Here is a 23,505-nt window from a genome sequence, read left to right as displayed (position 1 = left end):
AACCTCGGGTGATCCGCCCACCTTGACCTCCCAAAGTGCTGGGATTACAGGCATGAGCCACCATGCCCGGCTAGTGTTTCACATATTTTATATACACAATACTCAATAAATGTAGCCATTAATGCAGAACATCCCTCCCTTGACTTTAGTAACCTTGTTCCTTTGAGCACCCAAAGTAAGCTAGAAGATCAAGTTCAATAAGACTTGCAAAATCTTAAGTGAGGTCAACTAAGGAAAGGTGGAATAGACTCAGACAACCAGTTAGTGCTTGCCTTTTGCAGTAAATGTAGTATTGCTTGTCCTAGAATAACTGCTCGTGCTAAACGACACCTAGGAGGGGACCTGCAAACACTTCCCCTTTTCCTGTTAAAGCTGTCTTCTAACACAGTGGCTTGAGATAACCACTGTGGGAATTTTGAGGTTTTTTTCCAGTCTTCTGTCATACATTTTTTACATAGTTGAGGTAGTATTTATGTAATTATATATTGTAGTTTTTTTCCATTTCACATAGCACATATTTTCTGTGTCTTAAAAATTTTAATAAATAGTATTTTATCATATGGATGTATCATTTAATTGTTATAATATTGGCGACTTAGGTTGTTTTCAGTTTTCCTCTGTTATGTGTTGTCTTACTCCATTTACAGTTGCTATAAAGGAATACCTGAAGTGGGGTAATTGGTAAAGAAAAGAGGTTTTTTTGGAGACAGAGTCTCACTCTGTCACTCAGGCTGGAGTGCAGTGGCATAATCTCAGCTCACTGCAACCTCCACCTCCCGGGTTCAAGCGATTCTCCTGCCTCAGCCTCTTGAGTAACTGGGATTACAGGCACATGCCACCATGCCTGCCAGATTTTTGTATTTTTAGTAGAAACGGGGTTTTGCCATGTTGGCCAGGCTGGTCTCAAACTCCTGGCCTCAAGCGATCCACCCACCTCAGCCTCCCAAAATACTGGGATTACAGGAATGAGCCACTGTGCCTGGCCAAGAAAAGAATTTTCTTTGGTTCACAGTTTTTCAGACTGTACAAGAAACATGGTGCTGGTATCTGCAAGTTTAATTTCTAACTCAACAAATGTGAACATTTTCAGGGTTCTTCATACATATTGCTTAATTGTAATATACATTTCTTTCTTTCGTTTTTTTTTTTTTTTTTTTTTTGAGATGGAGTCTTGCTCTGTTGCCCAGGCTGGAGTGCAGTGGTACAATCTCGGCTCACTGCAACCTTCACCTCCCAGGTTCAAATGATGCTCCCACCTCAGCCTCCCTAGTAGCTGGAACTACAAACACCCACCATCATGCCTGGCTAATTTTTGTATTTTTAGTAGAGACGGGGCTTCACCATGTTGGCCAGGCTGGTCTCGAACTCCTGACCTCAGGTGATCTGCCTGCCTCAGCCTCCCGAAGTGCTAGGATTACAGGCGTGAGCCACTGCACCTGGCCATGTAATATACATTTCTTACCAGCTTTATATGATTGCCCATTTATTTCACTGCATCAGCAGCAGCAGCATTGAGTGTTCTTTCAGCCTTTACTTTCTAAATTTTTTTCTAATTGGACAGGTGAAAAAAAAATGTCTCAGGTTGGTGTCTTTAATGTTGTAATAAGTACCTTTCAAATCATCTTAGGGGAAAGACATGGATAGAAGCTGCTTATGCACTGAGATGTCTACATTGAATGACAGCATGTTCAAATTTAACTGGAAGAATCAGCATGACAGGAATAAGAGTAAATGTTACCAAGAATAGTAGTTTCTTAATAGTAATATTTCATCTGTGGTGGTTTCAGATTGAGAAACTGGATGCCCGAGGGATCCAGCTTGCTGCCCTCTTCATGAGTGGAGTCGACACAGCTCTGTTTGCTAATGATGCCTGTGGCCAGCCAGTCCCTTGGGAGCATTGCTGTCCATGGATTTACTTTGATGGCAAGCTGTTCCAGAGCAAGCTAATTAAAGCAGGCCGAGAGCGAGTATCTCTGGTTGAGCTCTGTGATGGCCAGGTACCAGCATGTCAGGCTGCTAAGGACTAGCTCTGATCTCCTGTGGGAGTGAATGGGCAGGGAGGGGAAAGGAGCAGAGATAGTGGAGAGGGATGGGGCGGAAGCAGGAGAATGTGTCTCACTTTAACCTGACTCAGTCAACAGTGGTCCCAAAGGCCCGTAGTCTGATATGTACATGTTGTAAAATTTTATGTTGGAAAGTTTTTTTTAATGAGCTTAAAGTTTTCATATCCTTTTTCTTACTCTGAGTATTTCTTATCCATGGAATATTCAGATGTACTATATACCTTCCCTCCAACTCAGTATTTCATTTCTCTTATTTACAAAAACTGTCTGTCTCTTTTGCAAGCAATTTTTTTTTTTTGTAAAGGAGCTGTGTTTGGAAACAGAAGAGGGTAGTAAAGTTGATGGTAGAGTAGAAGCAGAGGATTTTTTTTTTTTTTTAGACGGAGTCTTGCTCTGTCGCCAGGCTGGAATGCAGTGGCGTGACCTCGGCTCACTGCAACCTCCACCTCCCAGGTTCACGCGATTCTCCTCCCTCAGCCTCCCAAGTAGCTGGGACTACAGGCATGCACCACCAGGCCCAGCTAATTTTTGTATTTTGAGTAGAAATGGGATTTCACCATGTTGGCCAGGATGGTCTCGATCTATTGACCTTGTGATCCACCTGCCTTGGCCTCCCAAAGGGATTTTTTTTAATGAAACATTGGGAAAGATGAGGGGAGGCAAGGGAAAGGAAACCTTACTTAACTCCTTTATCCATTTTGGTGGGGAAAGAGCTGAGGCACTAGAGCAGGGGTTGGCAGACTACCCAGCACACCTCCTGTTTTTTGTCACTATCCATAGTTTTTTGCGCTATCCATAGTGCTACAAACCATCTGTTTTTTGTAATACAGACCACCCTCTGTTTTTGTAAATAAAATGTTATTGGAACATAGCCACATTCATTCATCTACATACCATCTATGACTGCTTTCTTCTTTTTTTTTTTTTTTTTTTTGAGACAGATTCTTGCTCTGTCGCCCAGGCTGGAGTGCAGTGGCACGATGTCAGCTCACTGCAACCTCCGCCTCCCAGGTTCAAGTGATTCTCCTGTCTCACCCTCCCAAGTAGCTGGGACTACAGGCACATGCCACCATGCCTGGCTAATTTTTTGTATTTTTAGTAAAGATGGGGTTTCATCACATTGGTCAGGCTGGTCTTGAACTCCTGACCTCAGGTGATCCACCTGCCTTGGCCTCCCAAATTGCTGGGACTACAGGCGTGAGCCACCACGCCTGGCCTATGACTGCTTTCATGTTACAGTAGCCGAGTGGAATAATTGTGACAGAGACAATATGGCCTACAAAGCCTAAAATATTTACTATCTGACCCTTTTCAGAAGAAGTTTGCAGACCTTTGTACTAGAGGTATCAGGATCTCCAATCTTGGATATGGGGGAGAAGGTTAAAAGGCTTTTTATTTGTCAGATTTTTATTCTCTCTTTTATCTAATTCTGTTACATCTCCCTTAGAAAGTGACCCAGCCCAATGCCGGCCATGTAATAGACCATCAGTAATTCTTATTGTTAAATTTGTCTTCCTTGACCTAGTCAATGTACATCACAAGCCCTGAGTCAGAACTCATATGATGGTAGTGTGATGTCATGTAAAGAGTCGGGGCTTTGGTGCCAGACAGGCTTCCTGAGTGTGTAGCTTTGAGCCCTTTAACGACAGGCCTCAGTTCACTTAATGGGAATAGAATTGTGAGACTGTACCTAGAGTGCTCCATCCTGGGCCTAAAACATGGGACAAGTTCGAAAAATGGCAGCTGCTATTATTACTCTTCCTCATTTGAAGGCTGACCTGGCAACCAAAGTGGAAAAGATGAGACAGAGCATCCTTGAAGGAGTCAACATGAATCATCCACCGCCTTCTGCTCTACTTCCGTCACCTACTTTTGTGCCTCCCATGGTGCCCTCTCTCTACCCTGTTTCACTTTATTCCCGAGCTATGGGCTCCATGCCACTTCCCCCTCAAGGGAGGAGCCGGGGATTTGCAGGTCAGTACCAAAGAATGAGGTATTTACCATCCTCAATTTATGTCATAATAATCTATCCAGTCATTATTGTCAATAACAGGATCAACAGTTTCACATATATCTCATCTCATTGACTTTTTTTTTTTTTTAGACGGAGTTTCACTCTTGTCGCCCAGGCTGGAGTGCAATAGTGTGATCTCGGCTCACTGCAACCTCCGCCTCCTGGGTTCAAGCGATTCTCCTGCCTCAGTCTTCTGAGTAGCTGAGATTACAGGCATGCACTGCCACACCTGGCTAATTTTGTATTTTCAGTAGAGACAGGGTTTCACCATGTTGGTCAGGCTGGTCTCGAACTCCTGACCTCAGGTGATCCACCTGCCTCAGCTTCCCAAAGTGCTGGGATTACAGGCGTGAGCCACAGCGCCCGGCCTCATCTCATTTATATTCTGTGCTATGTAGTTTGAAGAGCAGCTTATATCCATTTTGACTTTTAAGACCATTCTTCATAGAGGTCGTTGGTCCCCAGGGATTTGACTCTCACCAACCAAACTCATGAAGTGACTGATGTGGAAACCAGAACCCACTTTATTACTTTAGAGAACCGTAAGTCATATGGACTGGCTCTTCATGGTTACTGTTTGTTCATTCCTTCCATATAGGCAATGCACACAGGAGCTTGCAGGAAGATCAGTGAGAGTAAACGGCCAGTGCTGGTAGGCAACAGTAGCTTGATGTATCCATTTCCACTCTGCGAATATACTTGACACATTTCCCTTCCTTCAGCTCCAGAAGCATGGAGAGAAATATGTCACCATCCATGCCACCAGAGGATTGCAGTTTAGTGAGGAAAACATACACACACACACACATATGTACACACAAACATATGTATAAATTACGGTGGCACTTGAGCTACAGTTTAACGATGAATACACAATCATGCCTAGGTTGCTCAGATACTGATCCTGATAATTGAGACAACCTGTCCCGTGGTGAAACAAGATTTTTTTTTTTTTTTTTTGAGGCCTGGTCTCCCTCTGTCCACAGCCCGGCTAATTTTTGTATTTTTAGTAGAGACGGGGTTTTACCATATTCGTCAGGCTGGTCTTGAACTCCCATCCTCAGATGATCTGCCCGCCTTGGCCTCCCAAAGTGCTGGGATTACAGGCGTGAGCCATGGCACCTGGCAGTGAAACAGGATATTTTAGTGGAGACATTTCAACATAAAATAGCAAGATTCTGTGATTGGGTCAGAGTGTCATCGCTGTGGTTGAAGGTGTTTGTTATCTATTGCTCCTCCCTTTAAAAGTAATAAAGCTGGAAGTTGAAGTTAGTTTTTTAGGGTGACAAAATTCAGTATGGGTGGTTAGCTCAAGGCTGGGCTTAGATGAACAGTGTGAAAGTCTGCTCTGGTAACTCCCTGTTCAGTCAGATCATGATCAAGTCTTAAAAACCAGGGAGCCAGCCAGTCCATCCCTTTCAGATGACTTTACAGATCCTTTCTCCGTTCTTTATGTGTTGATTTTATTTTGTAAGTCTCAAAAGACAGCCTTAATTTAAGCCAGGTTCTTGGAAGGTCACCACTGCCCTACCTACCAGTGATGCTTAGTCTCCAGTTACTGGTGGTTCACAAGGAGCCTCTTGCCTCCTGAAAGCCCACAGTAGGATCCTCAAATGCAAGTCTTTCTTGTCCCTCTTAAAAGTAACTAGCACTCTAGGCAGGGAGCAGTGGCTCATACCTGTAATCCAGCACGTTGGGAGGCCAAAGTGGGCAGATCACTTGAGGTCATGAGTTCCAGACAAGCCTGGCCAACATGGTGAAACCCTGTCTCTACAAAAAATATAAAAATTAGCCGGGCATGGTGGCGGGCACCTGTCTGTAATCCTAGCTACTCGGGAGACTGAGACACAATAATTGCTTGAACCCGGGAGGTGGATTGCAGTGAGCCAAGATCGAGCCACTGCACTCCAGCCTAGGAGACATGGCGAGGCTCTGTGTCAAACAAACAAACAAAAAGGTAACTAGCACTCTAGTTCCTTGGACTCTCAAGTTTTATAAAGTTTTATATAAATGAAGGACTCGTGTGTGTGTGTATGTGTGGATACAGGGTCTCACTCTGTCGCCCAGGCTGGAGTGCAGTGGTGCAATCATGGCTTGCTGCAGCCTCAACTTCCTGGGCTCAAGTGATTCGCTCATCTCAGCCCCCTGAATAGCTGGAACTACAAGCATGCACCAACATGCCTGACTAATATTTTGGTGTGTGTGTGTGTGTGTGTGTGTGTGTGTGTGTGTGTGTGTGTGGAGATGGGGTCTCGCTATGTTGCCCTGGCTGGTCTTGAACTGGGCTTAAGCGATCCTGCCTGCCTTGGCTTCCCAAAGTGCTGGGATTACAGGTGTGAGCCACCATGCCTGGCCTAAATGAAGTACTCTTTACTAACAACCTGCTAAATGAGTTAAGGGTTCATTTGGTTTCTTGTCATAAACTAAAATTAAAGGCCTAGTAGAACTCCATATTCTATGAAGGCTTATTTTTGTGCTAAATTACAAAACCCACTGTGCTTGTGACTTGGTTCTGGTTTTCAATTGTTGCTGTTCTTGCTTTTTTTTTTTTCTTTTGAGATGGAATCTCGCTCTGTCACCCAGGCTGGAATGCAGTGGTGCCATCTCTGCTCACTGCAACCTCCACCTCCCAGGTTCAATCAATTCTTCTGACTCGGCCTCCTGAGTAGCTGGGACTACAAGCATGTGCCACCACGCCTGGCTAATTTTTTTGTATTTTTAGTAGAGACGGGATTTCACCATTTGGTCAGGCTGGTCTCGAACTCCTGACCTCAAATGATCTACCCACCTTGGCCTCCCAAAGTGCTGGGATAACAGGTGTGAGCTACCATGCCCGGCCTATTCTTGCTTTTTAATTATAAATTACTGTTAGTTTAGTTTCATTATTTTCAGTTTAGTTTGGTTGTTGGTTGTTTGGCTAATTCTACAATCTGTAATGATGTATATTTGTATCAAAAGTAGTTTAGGACCGGGCACGGTGGCTCATGCCTGTAATCCCAGCACTTTGAGAGCCTGAGGCAGGTGGATCACTTGAGGTCAGGAGTTCGAGACCAGCCTGGCCAATACGGTGAACCCCTGTCTCTACTAAAAATACAAACATTAGCTGGGCATGGTGGCATGTGCCTGTAGTCCCAGCTACTCAGGAGGCTGAGGCAGGAGAATCACTTGAACCTGGGAAGTGGAGGTTGCAGTGAGCCGAGATTGCACCATTGCACTCCAGCCTGGGTGTCACAGTGAGACTCTGTCTCAAAAAAACAAAAAAAAGAGTAGTTTAGGCTTGTAATTTTCCAATAACTAGATGTTAAGACATTCATTCTTTCAACAAATACTGAATGCCTACTATATGCTATGATCTGTGATTAAAAAATGAGTCACCTGCACCATACTTGGTAAAGTAGATGTGTACAGATCTCCGGCCCTCCTCACTAAATGTGCTTCCATCATGACACCTTTCTGTTATCACAGAATCTTTTTTTTTTTTTTTTTTGAGACAGAGTCTTACTCCGTCCCCCAGGCTGGAGTGGAGTGCAGAGGTGTGAACTTGGCTCACTGCAACCTCCACCTCCTGGGTTCAAGCGATTCTCCTGCCACAGCTTCCTGGGTAACTGGGACTATAGGCACGGACCACCACGCCCGGCTAATTTTTGTATTTTTAGTAGAGGCGAGGTTTCCCCATGTTGGCCAGGCTGCTCTCGAACTCCTGACCTCAGGTGATCCACCCGCCTCGGCCTCCCAAAGTGCTGGGATTACAGGCATGAGCCACCGTGCCCTGCCACAGAGTCTTTTTATCAGAGAGAAATGGAAAAAAGAGTAGGTAGCGGGTTGTAGGATCTTTTGTCCACCTCTTATCCTGCCTTGTACTTACAATTCTTTTTTCTTCTTCTTTTTTTTTTTTTTTTTCAAGACAGAATCTCATTCTGTCACCCAGGCTGGAGTGCAGTGGCGCAGTCTCAGCTCACTGCAACCTCCACCTCCTGGGTTCAAGTGATTCTCGTGCCTCCGCCTCCCGAGTGGCTGGGATTGCAGCCGCACACCACGATGCCTGGCTAATTGTTTGTATTTTTAGTAGAGACAGGGTTTCACCATGTTGGCTAGGCTGGCTCTGGAACTCCTGACTTCAAGTAATCCGCCCGACTCAGCCTCCCAAAGTTTTGGGATTACAGGCGTGAACCACCACACCTGGCCCATTACCACCATTCTTTCTATCTTGCCAGGTCTCCATCCAATCCCACCCCAAGGAGGAAAACTGGAGATTGCTGGGATGGTTGTGGGCCAGTGGGCTGGCAGCAGATCCTCCAGGGGCCGAGGATCCTTCGGCATGCAAGTGGTTTCTGTCGGTGGGCCAGGAAAGGGGTATGTACCCAAATAGGTTGATATGAGCTAGTCCCCTTGGGAAAATGCCTAGGCCTCCTTGGAAAAATGCCTAGGTATTAAATCCTTCTATTAAGGCAAGAAGTACTAACTTTACTTTTTTTTTCTTTTTTTCTTTCTTTCTCTTTTTGAGATGGGGTCTCACTTTGTTGCCCAGGCTGGAGTGCAGTGGCATCATCTCGGCTTCCTGCAACCTCCTCTGCCTCCCGAGTTCAAGTGATCCTCCTGCCTCAGCCTCCCAAGTAGCTGGGACCACAGATGTGCATCACCATGACTGGCTAATTTTTCATATTTTTGGTAGAACTGGGGTTTTGTCATGTTGCCCAGGCTGGGCTCAAACTCCTGGGCTCAAACAATCCTCCCGTCTTGGCTTTCCAAAGTGCTGGGATTACAGGTATGAGCCACCATGCCTGACCAACTTTCCTTTTTTTTTTTTTTTTCTTGAGATGGAGTTTCACTTGTTTCCCAGGTCAAAGTGCAATGGTGTGGTCTTGGCACACTGCAACCTCCACCTCCGGGGTTCAAGCAATTCTCCTGCCTCAGCCTCCCAAGCAGCTGGGATTACAGGTGCCGCCCACCACCATGCCAGGCTAATTTTTGTATTTTAGTAGAGATGGGGTTTCACCATGTTGGCCAGGCTGGTCTCAAACTCCTGACCTCAGGTGATACACCCACCTCGGTCTCCCAAAGTGCTGGGATTACAGGTGTGAGCCACCGCGCCCGGCCCAACTTTCCATTTTTTAAAGTCAGTTTTCAGTTTAGTTCAGCAAATAAATAATAAATTGCCCTGCCTTAATGAAAGAGTTTTTGCCTTAGAGGAGGACATGGGATACAGAACAATTCAGTTCAGTACAATATAGGAATGACCAAGATAGATGTTCAGTAGTAACACTGAGAAGGGGCATCTGACTGAAGAGGGTCAAACTTCTAAGAGGAGACGAATAGTTAACCAAGTGAAAAGGGGTGTGTGGGCTTTATGTTTCTCATGATCACTTTTTTTCTCACTTGCTAAAGGCATGGAAAAGAACAGACTGGTAGAGGATCCAAGGGACACAAAAAAGGAAATAAGCAAGTAAGTATTTTTTTTGAGATTATTTAGCTTCTGTTTGATGCCTTTTGCCTTTTCAGCTAAACTAAAAGAGATCACATCAGGCATGGAAACCTGAGCTGCTTAGGGGAGCTTCTCAACTCCTCCAGGCATTTGATTTCATTCTAGTGGTATAGTGAGGGTTAGCCTGCCTCAAGCTTTTCCCACAGGGCTGCGAGTCTTACCCTTTTCCGAGTGAGGCCACAAGATAGAAACCAGGTACTGTGTCCTAAAGACCTGCCCCTAGTATACTATGTGCAGCATGCAGCCAGAAAGGGGCCAGAGTGATGCTAACAGTGAGACTGCCCACAGCCTGCCTGAGCTTCTGAGGGGCCACCAGATATGCTTAAAAAATTGGACTTCTTTGCCTTTGCTGAATATATGTGGCGGGAGCGTTACCATTCTGCTTTTTTTTTTTTGAGACGGAGTTGCGCTCTTGTTGCCCAGGCTGGAGTGCAATTGCACGATCTCAGCTCACCACAACCTCTGCCTCCCGGGTTCAAGCAATTCTCCTGCCTCAGCCTCCTGAGTAGCTGGGATTATAGGCATGCACCACCACGCCCGGCTAATTTTGTATTTTTAGTAGAGATGGAGTTTCTCCATGTTAGTCAGGCTGCTCTCGAACTCCCGACCTCAGGCAATCCACTCGCCTCGGCCTCCCGAAGTGCTGGATTACAGGCGTGAGCCACCGCAACCGGCCTGCTTATTCTTAATGACTCAGAAATGTCTTGAACTTTCTCTCTCTCTTCTTTCTCTCTCTCTCTCTCTCTCTCTCGACAGGGTCTCACTCTGTCACTCAGGCAGGCTGGAGTGCAGTGGCACAATCACAGCTCACTGTAGCCTCTACCTCCTTGCCTCACGCAATCCTCGCAGCTCCGTCTCTCAAGTAGCTGGGACTACAGGTGTGTGCCACCACACCCTGCTAAGTTTTTCTTTTTCTTTTTTTTTTTTTTTTTGAGATGAGTCTCGCTCTGCTGTCCAGGCTGGAGTGCAGTGGCGCGATCTCGGCTCACTGGGAGCTCCGCCTCCCGGGTTCACACCATTCTCCTGCCTCAACCTCCCAAGTAGCTGGGACTACAGGCACCCGCCACCACGCCCGGCTGATTTTTTGTGTGTTTTTAGTAGAGATGGGGTTTCACTGTGTTAGCCAGGATGGTCTCGATCTCCTGACCTCATGATCTGCCCGCCTTGGCCTCCCAAAGTTTTTCTTTTTTTTTTTTGTAGAGACAGGGTCTTACTTTGTTGCCCCAGGCTGGTCTCAAAGTCCTGGGCTCAAGTGATCCTCCAGCCTCTTAAAATGCTGGGATTATAGGTGTGAGCCACTGCGCCCGGCCTTTAAACTTTCTTCTAATCCATGCCTTGGATTATATCACAGTTCCCACTGGTCCTCATTAGGTATGCCCCACCCCACCCAAATACAAACTAGGAGGACCTATTCTTGTAGTGATCCAAAATATTGTAGTAGACTCAAACTGCTGGGCTTCTTATAGTATAGCAGCTACCATTTCTTGAGTACCTACTTTCTACCAAGCCCCCTCTAGACATTCTACATGTAGTCTGTAATCCTGGGCAATTTTGTCATCAGTTCTCAATCCTAAATCTATTCTGTATACAGCCAGCCCTCACTGCATCCATGTTAATCCCCATCATCTAATGTTTCCTCAAAGAAGATAAATTTGGTTTAATGTTATTTTTAGGCAAAAATGGAACTAGATAGTAAGTCTCCCACGCAAAGCATTTCATAATGCACTCCAAAGCTAGAGAACAGTGACTTTGGTGATTTTTCCAAAGCTTCTCAGCTTTTTCTTGAAGCTGCTCAGTAAGGTAAACGGATGCACCTAGAAGGAAAGCTAATCACCAGATAGGCTCTCGTAAGGTAGTATAGCCTTGGTGAATTCACCGCGATTCAGGGTCTGGTCATCAGGCATACAGTCTGAAAAGCCTGATACTTTTGGTACAATAAGAGTAGATCTCGGCCGGGCGCGGTGGCTCACGCCTGTAATCCCAGCACTTTGGGAGGCCGAGGCGGGCGGATCACGAGGTCAGGAGATCGAGACCATCCTGGCTAACAAGGTGAAACCCCGTCTCTACTAAAAATACAAAAAATTAGCCGGGCGTGGTAGCGGGCGCCTGTAGTCCCAGCTACTCGGGAGGCTGAGGCAGGAGAATGGCGTGAACCCGGGAGGCGGAGCTTGCAGTGAGCCGAGATCGCGCCACTGCACTCCAGCCTGGGCGACAGAGCGAGACTCCGTCTCAAAAAAAAAAAAAAAAAAAAAAGAGTAGATCTTATTGGATCTCTTAGTGAATACATCTCTTAGTGGTTGACTCACACTAACCAAGATTATAGAAATAGCTGTGTGGATATGGCTAAGGGGTGGGGGAAGAAGGGGGTGAGAGATAAAGAACTGATTTATGATAAGAAATAGTTATCACAATGTATTACACATTTACTCTTCTAATCACTCTTACAAACACGTGAGCTCATTGAAACCACATAAATACCCTGTGAAGTATTTATTATTCTCCATTTTATTATTATTATTTTTTTGAGACAGGGTCTCGCTCTGTCACCCAAGCTAGAGTGCAGTGCACTGCAGCCTCAACCTCCCAGGCTCAAGCAAATTTCCCACCTCAGCCTCCTGAGTAAGCTGGGACTACATGTGTGAGCCACCACACCCAGCTAATTTTTAAATATTTTTTGTAGAGATGGGGTTTTGCCATGTTGCCCAGGCTGGTATCAAACTCTTGGCCTCAAGCTGGGTCTCCCAAAGTGCCGGGATTATAGGAATGAGCCACCACACCTGGCCTGTTCCCCATTTTAAACAGGAGGAAATTGAGACTCAGAAGAATGAAGTATCTTGCCCCAAATTATCTATGAAGTCAGTATCAGAATTGACATTACAGCCTGAGCTAACTGATTGCAAAGCCCCGTGCTATGCTAATTCCAATATAGTATAACAACTCTAGTTGTTAGAGACAAACATCAGACTCAAGTGTGGCTGACTCTAGTGTACATGCCTTTAACCATTACTACTAGAGCTTTCTTTCTCTAAGGGCAAGCTACAAGAGAGGCCTTGGTATCAGAAGTTTGCTTGGGGGCATGGAATCAGACCAATGATATTAGCTAGCTTTTTTTTTAATGAGTCACCTAGGCTGGAGTGCAGTGTTGCAATCATAGTTTACTGCAGCCTCAAACCCCTGGGCTCAAGTGATCCTCCTACCTCAGCCTTCTGAGTAGCTGGGACTAGAGGTGCATGCCACCATGCCCAGCTAATTTTTATATTTTTTGTAGAGACAGGGTTTCGCCATGTTGGCCAAACTGGTCTCAAACTCCTGAGCTCGGGTGATCCGCCTGCCTCGGCCTCCCAAAGTGCTGGGATTACAGGGATGAGCCACTGTGCCCAGGCTTAGTGAGCATTTATTGAGTTCTTACACTGTGCCAAACACATATGTTCTAAGTGCTTTATATATAGTGTCTCATTGAATACTTACAGGAACCTACGAAGTAGATACCCTTATTCTATCTATTTTACAGATGAGGAAAGTGACAGAAAACAAGGGATGGTAGGTGATCTTAAGTTTCTCTTAGCTAAGATGGCTGCGGACACTATTATCTGCTCTAGAGGTCACCTAGCCAAGGAAATCCTCATTTCAACTTGGTTTATAGCAAGCCATCTTCTCTGGACAGAGCTGCTGCTGACTTCGTTTTTGACTCTTCTTTTTCTGTTTCAGTCGGGACAGAAAAAGAAGAGTATGAGATAATTAATAAAATGTTCCAGCTTATTAAATCTGGTTACACTGTAATCCTGTCTTCCTGAGATTATTCCTAGGCTACAAGAGTTTTATATGTTCTTAAATTCTTTTTTTTTTTGTATTTTTTTTTTTTTAAAAAAACAGTCTTGCTCCATCACTCAGGCTGGCGCGATGTCAGCTCACTGCAACCTCCGCCTCCTGGGTTCAAGCGATTGTCCTGCCTTAGCCTCCCAAGTAGCTGGGATTACAGTAGTGCACCACCACACCCGGCGAATTTTTATATTTTTAGTAGTGACAGGGTTTCACCATATTGGCCTGGCTGGTTTTGAACTCCAGACCTCAGTTGATCTGCCTGCCTCGGCCTCCCAAAGTGCCCAGGCTGCAGTGCAGTGGCACAATCTTGGCTCACCGCAACCTCTGCCTCCCAGGTTCAAGCAATTCTCCTGCTTCAGCCTCCCAAGTAGCTGGGATTACAGGTGCCCACCACCACACCCGGCTAATTTTTGTATTTTTAGTAGAGACAGGGTTTCGCCATGTTGGCCAGGCTGGTCTCGAACTCCTGACCTCATGATCCGCCCGCCTCGGCCTCCCGAAGTGCTGGGATTACAGGCGTGAGCTACCACACCCGGCCAGGCCTGTTCTTAAATTCTTTTTTTTTTTTTTTTTGAGACAGAGTCTCGTTCTGTCGCCAGGCTGGAGTGCAGTGGCGTGATCTTGGCTCGCTGCAACCTCTGCCTCCTGGGTTCAAGCAATTCTCCTGCCTCAGCCTCCTGAGTAGCTGGGATTACAGGCGCCCGCTACCACGCCTGGCTACTTTTTTTGTATTTTTAGTAGAGACGGGGTTTCACCATGTTGGTCAGGCTGGTGCTCAACCCCTGACCTTGTGATCTGCCTGCCTCGGCCTCCCAAAGTGCTAGGATTACAGGCATGAGCCACAGCGCCTGGCCGCCTGTTCTTAAATTCTTAAGTCACTTACTTGTAATGTTTTGATGTATTTGGTGATTCCTTCAGGTGGCTAATTCCATCCATTTGTATGGCTGTTACTTGTTTCATGTTATTTCCAGGTTGTTGGACAATACTTCACAGTAAGCCCCATATTGTACAGACTTTGGAACCAAATGATCTAGCTTTGAATGTGGCTCTGCTACTTACTAGTTCTGTGACCTTGGGCAAGTTACTTAGCCTCTCTGCCCTAGTTTTCTCATCTATAAAATTGGAGAAATTGGTATCTATGTTGTAGAGTTGTTACATGAGGACTAATAGTAAAGTCTTCGTACTTTTTGAGCCTGTTTATTTTTTCTTTTTTGAGACAGGATCTCACTCTGTCGCCCAGGCTGGAATGCAATGGTGCAATCATGACTCAATGTAGCCTGGACCTCCCAAGCTTTAGCGATCCTCCCACCTCAACCTCCCAGGTAGCTTGGACTACAGGTGCATGCCACCACGCCCAGCTAATTTTTGTAATTTTTGTAGACATGGGGTTTCGCCATGTTGCCCAGGCTGGTCTCAAACTCCTGAGTTCAAACAATCTGCCCGCCTTGGCCTCCTAGGAGCTTCAGTTTTCTTATCTGTAAAAGGAACAACAGAGTATGTGGCATGTCCAACCACTTAGTAGTCAGAAGCTGTTATTATTCCTAGCACCATTCATTAAGAGCCAGCACTGCACTACAAGGTAATGTAGTTCATATCATTAGCAGTAGCTACCATATTCCTGGGATTTACAAAAACCAGGTGATTGTTTTTAGTTATGAAAGATTCTGTGGCTCACGCCTATAATACCAGCACTTTGGGAGCTGAGGCGGGTGGATCACCTGAGGTCGGGAATTCGAGACCAGCCTGACCAACATGGAGAAATCCCGTCTCTACTAAAAAACAAAATTAGCCGGGCATGGTGGCACATGCCTGTAATCCCAGCTACTCGGGAGGCTGAGGCAGGAGAATTGCTTGAATCCAGGAGGCGGAGGTTGCGGTGAGCCGAGTTCGTGCCATTGCACTCCAGCCTGGGCAACAAGAGTGAAACTCTGTCTCAAAAAGAAAAGAAAAGAAAGATTCTGTGGAATATTGCACATAGATCTTCTGTGTTTTTTTTCCTTTTCTTGCATTTGCCTGTTCAATTGTCAGCGTTGGGCAGTGTTGCATGGCAGTTAAGAGAACAGACTTTAGAGGAGTAGAATCCTGGCCCTATGACTTTGTATCTGTGTCTCCTTGAGCAAGTTGCTTTAATATTTCTGAGCCTCACCTTCCTCATCAGCAAATGGGGCATGATCATATCTACCATTTAGGATCCCCATAGTATTAGAAAAACATATTGTAAAGCTTTGTAAATAGTAGCAGTGTCAGCCAGGTGCGGTGGCTCACACCCATAATCCCAGCACTTTGGGAGGCTGAGGCAGGCAGTTCACCTGAGCTCAGGAGTTCAAGACCAGTGTGGCCAACATGGTGAAACCCTGTCTCTACAAAAAATACAAAAATCAGCTGGATGTGGTGGTGCACGCCTGTAGTCCCAGCTACTTGGGGGGCTGAGGTGGGAAGATGGCTTGAGCCCAGGAGGTCATGGCTGCAGTGAGCCAGGATCGCAGCACTCCACTCCACTCTGGGTGACAGAGCAAGACCCTGTATAAAAAAAGAAAAAGCTGTGTCATTATTGTGTTGTCATTGCCATTGGATTTCATTTGGGTCTATATGTTTTCACCCTAACTTCTCAAGATAATATCAGAATGTACTAGGTATCCGGCTGGGTGTGGTGGCTCACACCTGTAATCCCAGCACTTTGGGAGGCTCAGGCGGGCAGATCAGTTGAGGCCAGGAGTTCGACACCAGGCTGGCCAACATGAGGAAACCCCATCTCTACTAAAAATACAGAAATTAGCTAGGCATGGTGGTGGGCGCCTGTAATCCCAGCTACTCTCAGGAGGCTGAGGTGGGAGGATTGCTTGAACCTTGGAGACAGAGGTTACAGTGAGCCGAGATTGCAGACTACACCCCAGCCTGGGCGACAGAGCGAGACTCCGTCTTAAAAAAAAAAAAAAAGATTGTACTAGTTGTCAACCAGCTTGAGGTCTTCTGGTGTTTTTGAAGAACTGAAGCCGCTTCCTCAGGCTAGCTTATGAATATGCTTAGGAAGGGTCAGCCAGTCTGGGATTCCCATTTCCACTGAGTATCTCTGTTTTTAACAGGGCTCTTCAGATGGAGTTTCTAAATCCCTGGAGCTTCATCAAGGTCGGTCTCGCTCCCAGGTAAATGGAAACAGTGGCGCATTGATCAAGGAAGAGAAGAGTGATCATCGTCTTCCAGCTCCATCACAATGTGCCTTATCCAGAGACAGCAATGAGTGTAATAATGGTAACCGCTACCTCCCTATGAATAATAGGGAGAAGAACCACTTACAAGAGCAAAAGCTAGAAACTGTGGCACAACGGAAAGAGGACTGATAAGCTGAAGATGGCTTCACCAAACCAGGAAGAGGGAAAAACTTTTACTTTTCTGATTTTAGGCCCAAGCTAGAGGAGGATATAAATGCTTACCCTAGATTTCTCCAGGATTTTGGTGGGATGTCCTATTGTGTCCATCTTTTCCCCTTCCCTGCCTGTTTCTGGGACTTCAGATTCAGTGGTCTGTTTCTGGAGAAGTTCTGGTCAAAGATGAATGGCAGTAAGACTAGGTCCTAGTCTCAAATTGAAGATATAGCACCAATAGTTTATTTATCTCCTCTGGGAGCCTAGTAAGGCAGTAGCTGTCAGAAATTGGGTATCATCACATAAGGTCCTATAGAAAAGCTCTAGCTTTGGTTTTTCTGAGCATTTATAATGATACTCATTATCAAAGACTTATATGATAAACCTATGAGGTTGTGGGGACAGCTGTGGCCTCCTGAGGTTTTTTTTTGTTTTTTTTTTTTCTCTATGAAGTGGTATCTACCTCTTCTTCACTCCTTCCAACTTACCTACCCCTGGATTTTGTACCACCACCTCTAGCTTTGGCCTGACAATCAGATAGGTAGATGTTTTCAGAAAAGTAAGGTAGTATTGGTTATTTTAATTTTTATTTTTTATTTTATACACTTCAAAAAAACTATCAATGGCCTTTGTACTGGGGGATTCAAGTGAATCAGAAAAGTACTGGGCAGATTTTTCCTGCCTCTCAACCAGTGCATTGTTTGTAAAATAGAAGATGTGGCACAGTTCATTCACTCCCTATTGCCCACACCATGAAAGGGTGGGAATCAGTGTAATGAACTTGAGTACGAAAGGGACTCAAGAGACTGTGTGTGTGTGTGTGTGTGTGTGTGTGTGTGTGTGTGTGTGAATGTGTGCTTGTGTGTGGGTGTGGGTGGATGTTGTGTGGGTGGGTGTATATATGAATGTGTGTATATGCATACACATACCCTTTATATAAAGAGACAGATCTATTTATCTATACATATTTTATATATATGTAAGTGTGTGTGTATGTGTGTATATATGTGTGTATATATATATACACACATATATACACACATACATACATACATACATACATACATACATACATGGTGATGTCCCAGAGGATTTACTCAATTTCCCAGAAATGCTTCCACTGCTATGGAGTGGAAGGTTTCAAAAGACCACACTTTTAATCTGAAATTCTTACTAAGTCACAGTGCATTCACAACTATGAGAAGTTGGATGGGCTTCTCTAAATCAGACAAAAAGTACTTTCCAGAAATTGCCTGTTCAGAACAATAAACTCTTGGGTTGTTACAAGCTTAATCTTGAACAGAGCCCTCACATCCCATATGGTGAAAACAGGAGGTTGGAATGGGATTGGGAAGAGTTGGGCATTTCCTTATGAAGGTTTGGAGAGAAAAGGGGGGATGGGAGGTGACTACCATTTGAAAGGGCTTTCAGCCAATTTGGAGGAAATCTCTTCTGGAACTCCAGGGTCAAATTGGTTTCAGGCTAGAATTGATTGACATGAATCCCTGAAGGAGAGAGGACTAGCTTTGGAAAGATAGGGTAGGGAAGTGTGAGGAAACTATTTGATTTTACACGCCTAGATTGTTTCATTTGTTCATTGACATTCTGACTACTGGATCTTTTCATTTGCTTTGCAAGGAAGACTTTAGAGGACTCTGGCCTGGGCCTTGAGAAGAATTCTATTAAAAGATTCTCAGCCTCCTGTGTGGCCAGGATCTGCCCAGGATAAAGAGGCTATTCCTCCTTGCTGGAGATAATCTTGAGACAACCTTGCATTTCCAGTTTCCCTCCTTGGGCAGCCTAACTATGAGGGAGGGAAACATGGCTTGCAATAAATTAGCATTGTGTCTTCATTCAGGAATTGAGGCTTCCAGCCTCATATACCTCCTTTTGGGCTTTGTGATATTCTTGCCCAAGAAGTACCATTTCTACAGAAATACAACTGACTAATCTTCTAGCAGGGTTCTTTTTGAAAAACCCCATGCACCTTAACCCACAGCAGGTCCTTGGTGATTTTTGCCCAGACAACCAGAAGGCTATTTGCTTACTGCCCACTTACAATGACCAGATCATAGGAAATTGAAAACAGTGTCAGACTATTTAGTCCTAATCTGTCCCAGATTAAGAGAATCCATGATTTTCAGGGGGAGGGAGCCCTGCAATGCCTTGACCCCTGCCCAGATACTTCTTACATAAACCAAAGAAAAATGACAAGAGTGTACATCTAACCAGACAGAAGTAGAAACAAAGTATAGAAAAACCTCCTCTTTGGAATCAGCTCCCTTAATGTGGTCCCCCTTCTCTTGGACCTGCCCAACCTTTCACAACGTCTTGAAGGTAGGACTTCTATATCCAGCAAAGGAAGGGATAGTAGTAAATTTACATGGCTTGGAATTTTCTTTCTGGAGCCACAGAGGGATGAATCCTTTGGAGCTCTAAAAGCAACCAGTATCACTGAGCTGTGAGATACCTATATCTCCATTTTCTAATAGGAAGCACTTGGACTTAAAATTGCTAAGATATTTTTTGCAGTTGCTATTTCTGTGCATCTTGAATCTATCTGACACAATCAAATGACAGTATTGTTAACTCTCACACCATTAAGAAAATTTCTTATTTTGTAGGCATTCACTGTGAGAGGTAAAATTGCTGCTTTGGCAGGTATGATTCCAGTTTGCCAAACGGCTTTTCTTCCTTCCACAACCTCTTTTTCCCCTAGCCCAGGGTGAAACAAGTGGGTCATCTCCAACCTTGATTTTTATTTGGATTCAGCATTTTGGGTTTGGAAGGTTACAAGAAGGAACCATAAATGGCCATATTCCTAGATTTTTATTTATCTGACAAAATACACAACTTAAAAGCCAGGAAAACTAAGGTTCATTACAGGGAGATGAACTTTTTCTAATTGGAGGACAAATTGTGGAAGGTGGGGTCTGATCTTTGCTTCACCACTTGAAGAGACTGTCATCCTTCACCTGAGGTTCCATTTCTAGCTTTTATGTGACCTCTCTTGAACAAAGTCATTTGGGAACCCCCAGAAATGACCCCTTTACATTGTAGGACCATAAGCAAAACACTGGTTGTGTATAGTCACTGATCCCCAAGGACTTGCAGTTTTTTATTTCTGCTGGTGTGTCTTGGGATCAGCTTATAACTCCTACTCTTACTTAGTCAGTGACCAGTCCAGTCTGGTCTGGACCAGGCCTGACAAACTTCTGCTCACTTGCATCATTTTCATTCTGAGCCAGTAGGACTTTGGGTAGACTTTAAAGCCCAAGAATTGGTACTCGCTTTGGCTAGTGACATTTGATTTTTGTCTCCATCTTGATTTCTGACATCATTGGCCAAGTCACATTAACTTTTTTTGATCACTGAGAAAAACAGTCGAACAAGGCATTACAGAGGGTGGTTAAGGTAGAGGGTGGGGGGCAGGAATGCTTATGTAGGATAGAAAGAATGTGGGGGTAGCTGTTTGGTTATGGTGATCCAGTCCTTTGGAACCTTACAAGGCTCCTGTGGGCATGTCAATGTTACCATTACAGCCTCTACGACCCACCCACCTTTGAAAAGTCAGTACAAGTAGACCACAGTTTAAAGTAGTTAGTATAATTCTACTAAGGTTTAATCATTATACTTGTTCACTTCCTGGTGCATATTTCCTAAATATGCTTGGGGTGTGGGGTGGGGGGTTGAGTTTTCACTGTTCCATTGCGTGTCATCTTATATTTTTCTCCATCCTGTGACTTTGGCATCTTACTCGACTTTCTATTTTCTTTTCCCTTGGCTTATTGCAGTAGTCTGCTGGTGCAGGTAGAGAGCTCAGTGCACCTATTCCCCTGTTACTGCTAATTATCTTGAATATTGTCAGAGGTTATTTTGATGTTCTAAGAATATAAAGTCATTTTTTACAAAATCATCTTTTCCAAGTTAAAAGCAAAATAAAAAAATCCCCTGTGCTAGGGTGCCCATTTCAGCTTTTGACATTGCCCCTGTACTTTTATAGATGCTCTTTTTGTCCGTGTTGGTAGTAACTAATGACTAGTGAATTTTCATGTAAATGAAGCAAAATAAATATTTCAGATTTTATTAATCTCTCATAACCCAGCCAAATCTGATGACTTCATTTTAATTGCTTCCCAGAAAGCACTTCCCCTCCTACCTTCTATTCTATTCTATTCTATTCTATTCTATTCTATTCTATTCTATTCTATTCTATTCTGTTCTATTCTGTTCTATTCTGTTTTTAGAATAACACACTAGGTAAAGAAACTTTAACTGCAAGGAGTCAGTGACTTTTAGTGCTCCCTGATAAATGATGTTATTGACAAAAGTAAAAAATTATTTCATTGTTTTTTTCCTGTATTACTATCTCCTCTCCTGTGCTTTTGACAGTGTGTTTAGTGGATGGATAATATGTATTTCTCTTTCCCACTCCCAGATTCCAAATTCCCTGCCTTTTTGGCCCACCTCACCACAAAAGCTCCATAGTTTATTAATGTAAGTTTGAATGGATGCTTCTTTGGGGAAACTTCAGGAGTTAATGGAAGAGTTTCAGAAAGGAATGAGAATGCCTCAGGAGTTGTTCTGTGATGGAAATTGGTCTGTTGTTCTGTTAATGCTGATGGAAAGAAACTTACAACGCTTAATAAAAATCTATTCTTTTAGTAAAAAAAATTGTGAAATAATTTTGGGTGTGCGAAGTTTGATTTCTTTTCCCATCTCTGGATCCCTTTCTGCAAATGGGGGATATACTTGTCTCAATTCAGAAGTGTTGCACAGAGATTTAGGAGTCTGTTTGTGTAATATCAGGGCAAGAGACCAAGTACAAGAATCATCAAAAGGTAGAGCATATTTAGCCTCCTAGTTAACTTCTTTATTTGAATGTCCTAAAGGCACCTTTGTCTTGACATTTCCCAAACTGAACCCATCCTTTCTGTGCAAGCCTGTGCCTCTCCATCAGTGACACTACTTTCTACTCAATTGCCTAAACCACAGACTGACCTGGGAGTGAACTGTCTTAGACTTGTCCCTCACTTCTCAAATCCAGTTGATGAAAACATCTGTTGATAACACCCAACCATTTTTCTATTTCTCACATCTGTTTCCTCATTTCTGTCCTGGCTCCTGTGGCTTAGTGGAGGCCTCATCGTGTCTTACTTGGACTGTTGCAGTTGCTCCCCGTCTTACTCCTTAACTGGGCAATTTTAAGCAACATTTTATGTCTAAGTGTATGTACCTTTTTCCAGTGAAAGGGCCCATACCTTTTTTCAGGTTCTTAAAGGAATCTGTGACACAAAAGGATGTTAAGAACCATTGCTTTAATCCACCATGCTTAGTAGCTTCTAAAGTGTCCCTCTAACATGCTGCTCCCCTGACTCCACGGTCCCTTCATGATCTGGCACCTGACCACATCTCAGCTCATTTACTACCTCCGTACTCCAGCCATAATAAAATGCATCCCATACACATTGAGCTGTCAATATCCATTTCTTCTCACTTGCTTGTACCATTGCTAAAATTCCTTTCTCCCTTTGTTTCTGGTGCAGACTTAACTTATTGCCCCAAGATTCAGCTCGTGTCTTTATGATTCTTTTTCTGATCCCCAATTCGGTGATGAGTATAGACTCATCACAGCCAGCCCCTCTAGTGCTTTGCTGCATCTTTGCCCCTAGATTACACTTGTGAGCAGTGACTGTGCTTAACCATCTCTGTGTTCTTGGCACCTACTGCACAGCACACACTTAGTAAATGTTTGATGAATAAGTCAAGAACAGCTAAAACACTTTTGAATAAGTCCTTTGGTACAAAGCAGATTTCAGACTTTGAAGGCAGAGGATATGGTGGCAAAAACTCAGGAAGATTGAGTATGAGGTTTCAGCCCTGGATGGTATTCACTTAAATGTGTTTTAAAATTGAGCTCTGAGTCACCTTTGAGCAATAGAGGGATGCTTTGAGCAGAGTCTGAAGCCAGGACTCTAGGGCATTCTTTACTGCTTCTGCTGAGTGACTCTAGCTGGGCTTGGCCTCTCTAACCACTTTGTGCCTTGTGTGTACAGATTCTAAAAGGAAACAGCTGAGCCTCAAGGTGAGCACTAGAGGCCTGCTGAAGCTTGTAAACACTTTATCCTTAAATGAAAAATTATTTGTAACATCTTTTGTCTTATATGGGTTCATTATAGCTACAGATGTCTTTTCCTGGCCTTTGATCTTTGAGTGTTGGGACTGTGAAAAGTTAATAGAAGGAAATATTTAGCATCTGGCTTTTTAAAATGAATTTATTGCAGACCTATTAGGTACCAGGCATAGTACTAAACTCTCATACATTATTTCTTATCCTTAAACAACTCTCCAAAGTACGATCCCTACTTTACATATGAGCAAACTGATTGAGTGGTGCCCAAGTTCACACACAGCTAATAAGTAATAAACTCCGGGTTCTAAACCTAAGCCTGTTTTGACTTCGATAACTCATTTCTGCCTCCCCAGCATTCCTTCCTTATTCTGGCAATTAAGCCCAGTTTTCTCCTTTGGGGGAAGTGGCCATCTATCTTGGGGTAGAGTTGGGTTGACCATCAGTCATGTGGCTTCATCTCCCCCAGCACGGGGATGGAGGGGTAGGTGACCTAAGCAGGGCCAATTGTAGTGCTTTTTCATGGAGTTGAGGGAGAAAGTTACGAAGAATGAAAATATCTCTTTTAAGAATACAAGCATTAGGAATAATGTGAGCCTGGAACACTGCCTTCTGTTTACATCTTCCAAAAC

The 23,505-nt window shown here is 44.2% G+C and overlaps 1 protein-coding gene across 3 annotated transcripts in view; it reads left to right on the top strand.

The window, feature by feature from the left end:
* FAM120C (family with sequence similarity 120 member C) overlaps positions 1-21,428 on the top strand; it is a 114,931-nt gene extending 93,503 nt beyond the window's left edge. The window contains exons 12-16 of one of the 3 annotated variants that reach the window (NM_017848.6): positions 1,788-1,997; positions 3,836-4,037; positions 8,292-8,430; positions 9,463-9,520; positions 16,465-21,428. In NM_017848.6, coding sequence (NP_060318.4) covers positions 1,788-1,997; positions 3,836-4,037; positions 8,292-8,430; positions 9,463-9,520; positions 16,465-16,719 — 864 coding nt within the window. In that variant the 3' untranslated portion in view covers positions 16,720-21,428. Of the gene's footprint in view, positions 1-1,787; positions 1,998-3,835; positions 4,038-4,675; positions 4,730-8,291; positions 8,431-9,462; positions 9,521-16,464 lie in introns of those variants that run through there. The other 2 variants (XM_006724589.5, NM_001300788.2) reach the window with 2 other exon arrangements.

Source organism: Homo sapiens, chromosome X (genome assembly GCF_000001405.40).
Source record: "Homo sapiens chromosome X, GRCh38.p14 Primary Assembly".
In the NCBI taxonomy this organism is placed as follows: Eukaryota; Metazoa; Chordata; class Mammalia; order Primates; family Hominidae; genus Homo; species Homo sapiens.
This window is presented reverse-complemented; position numbering and strand designations above follow the sequence as displayed.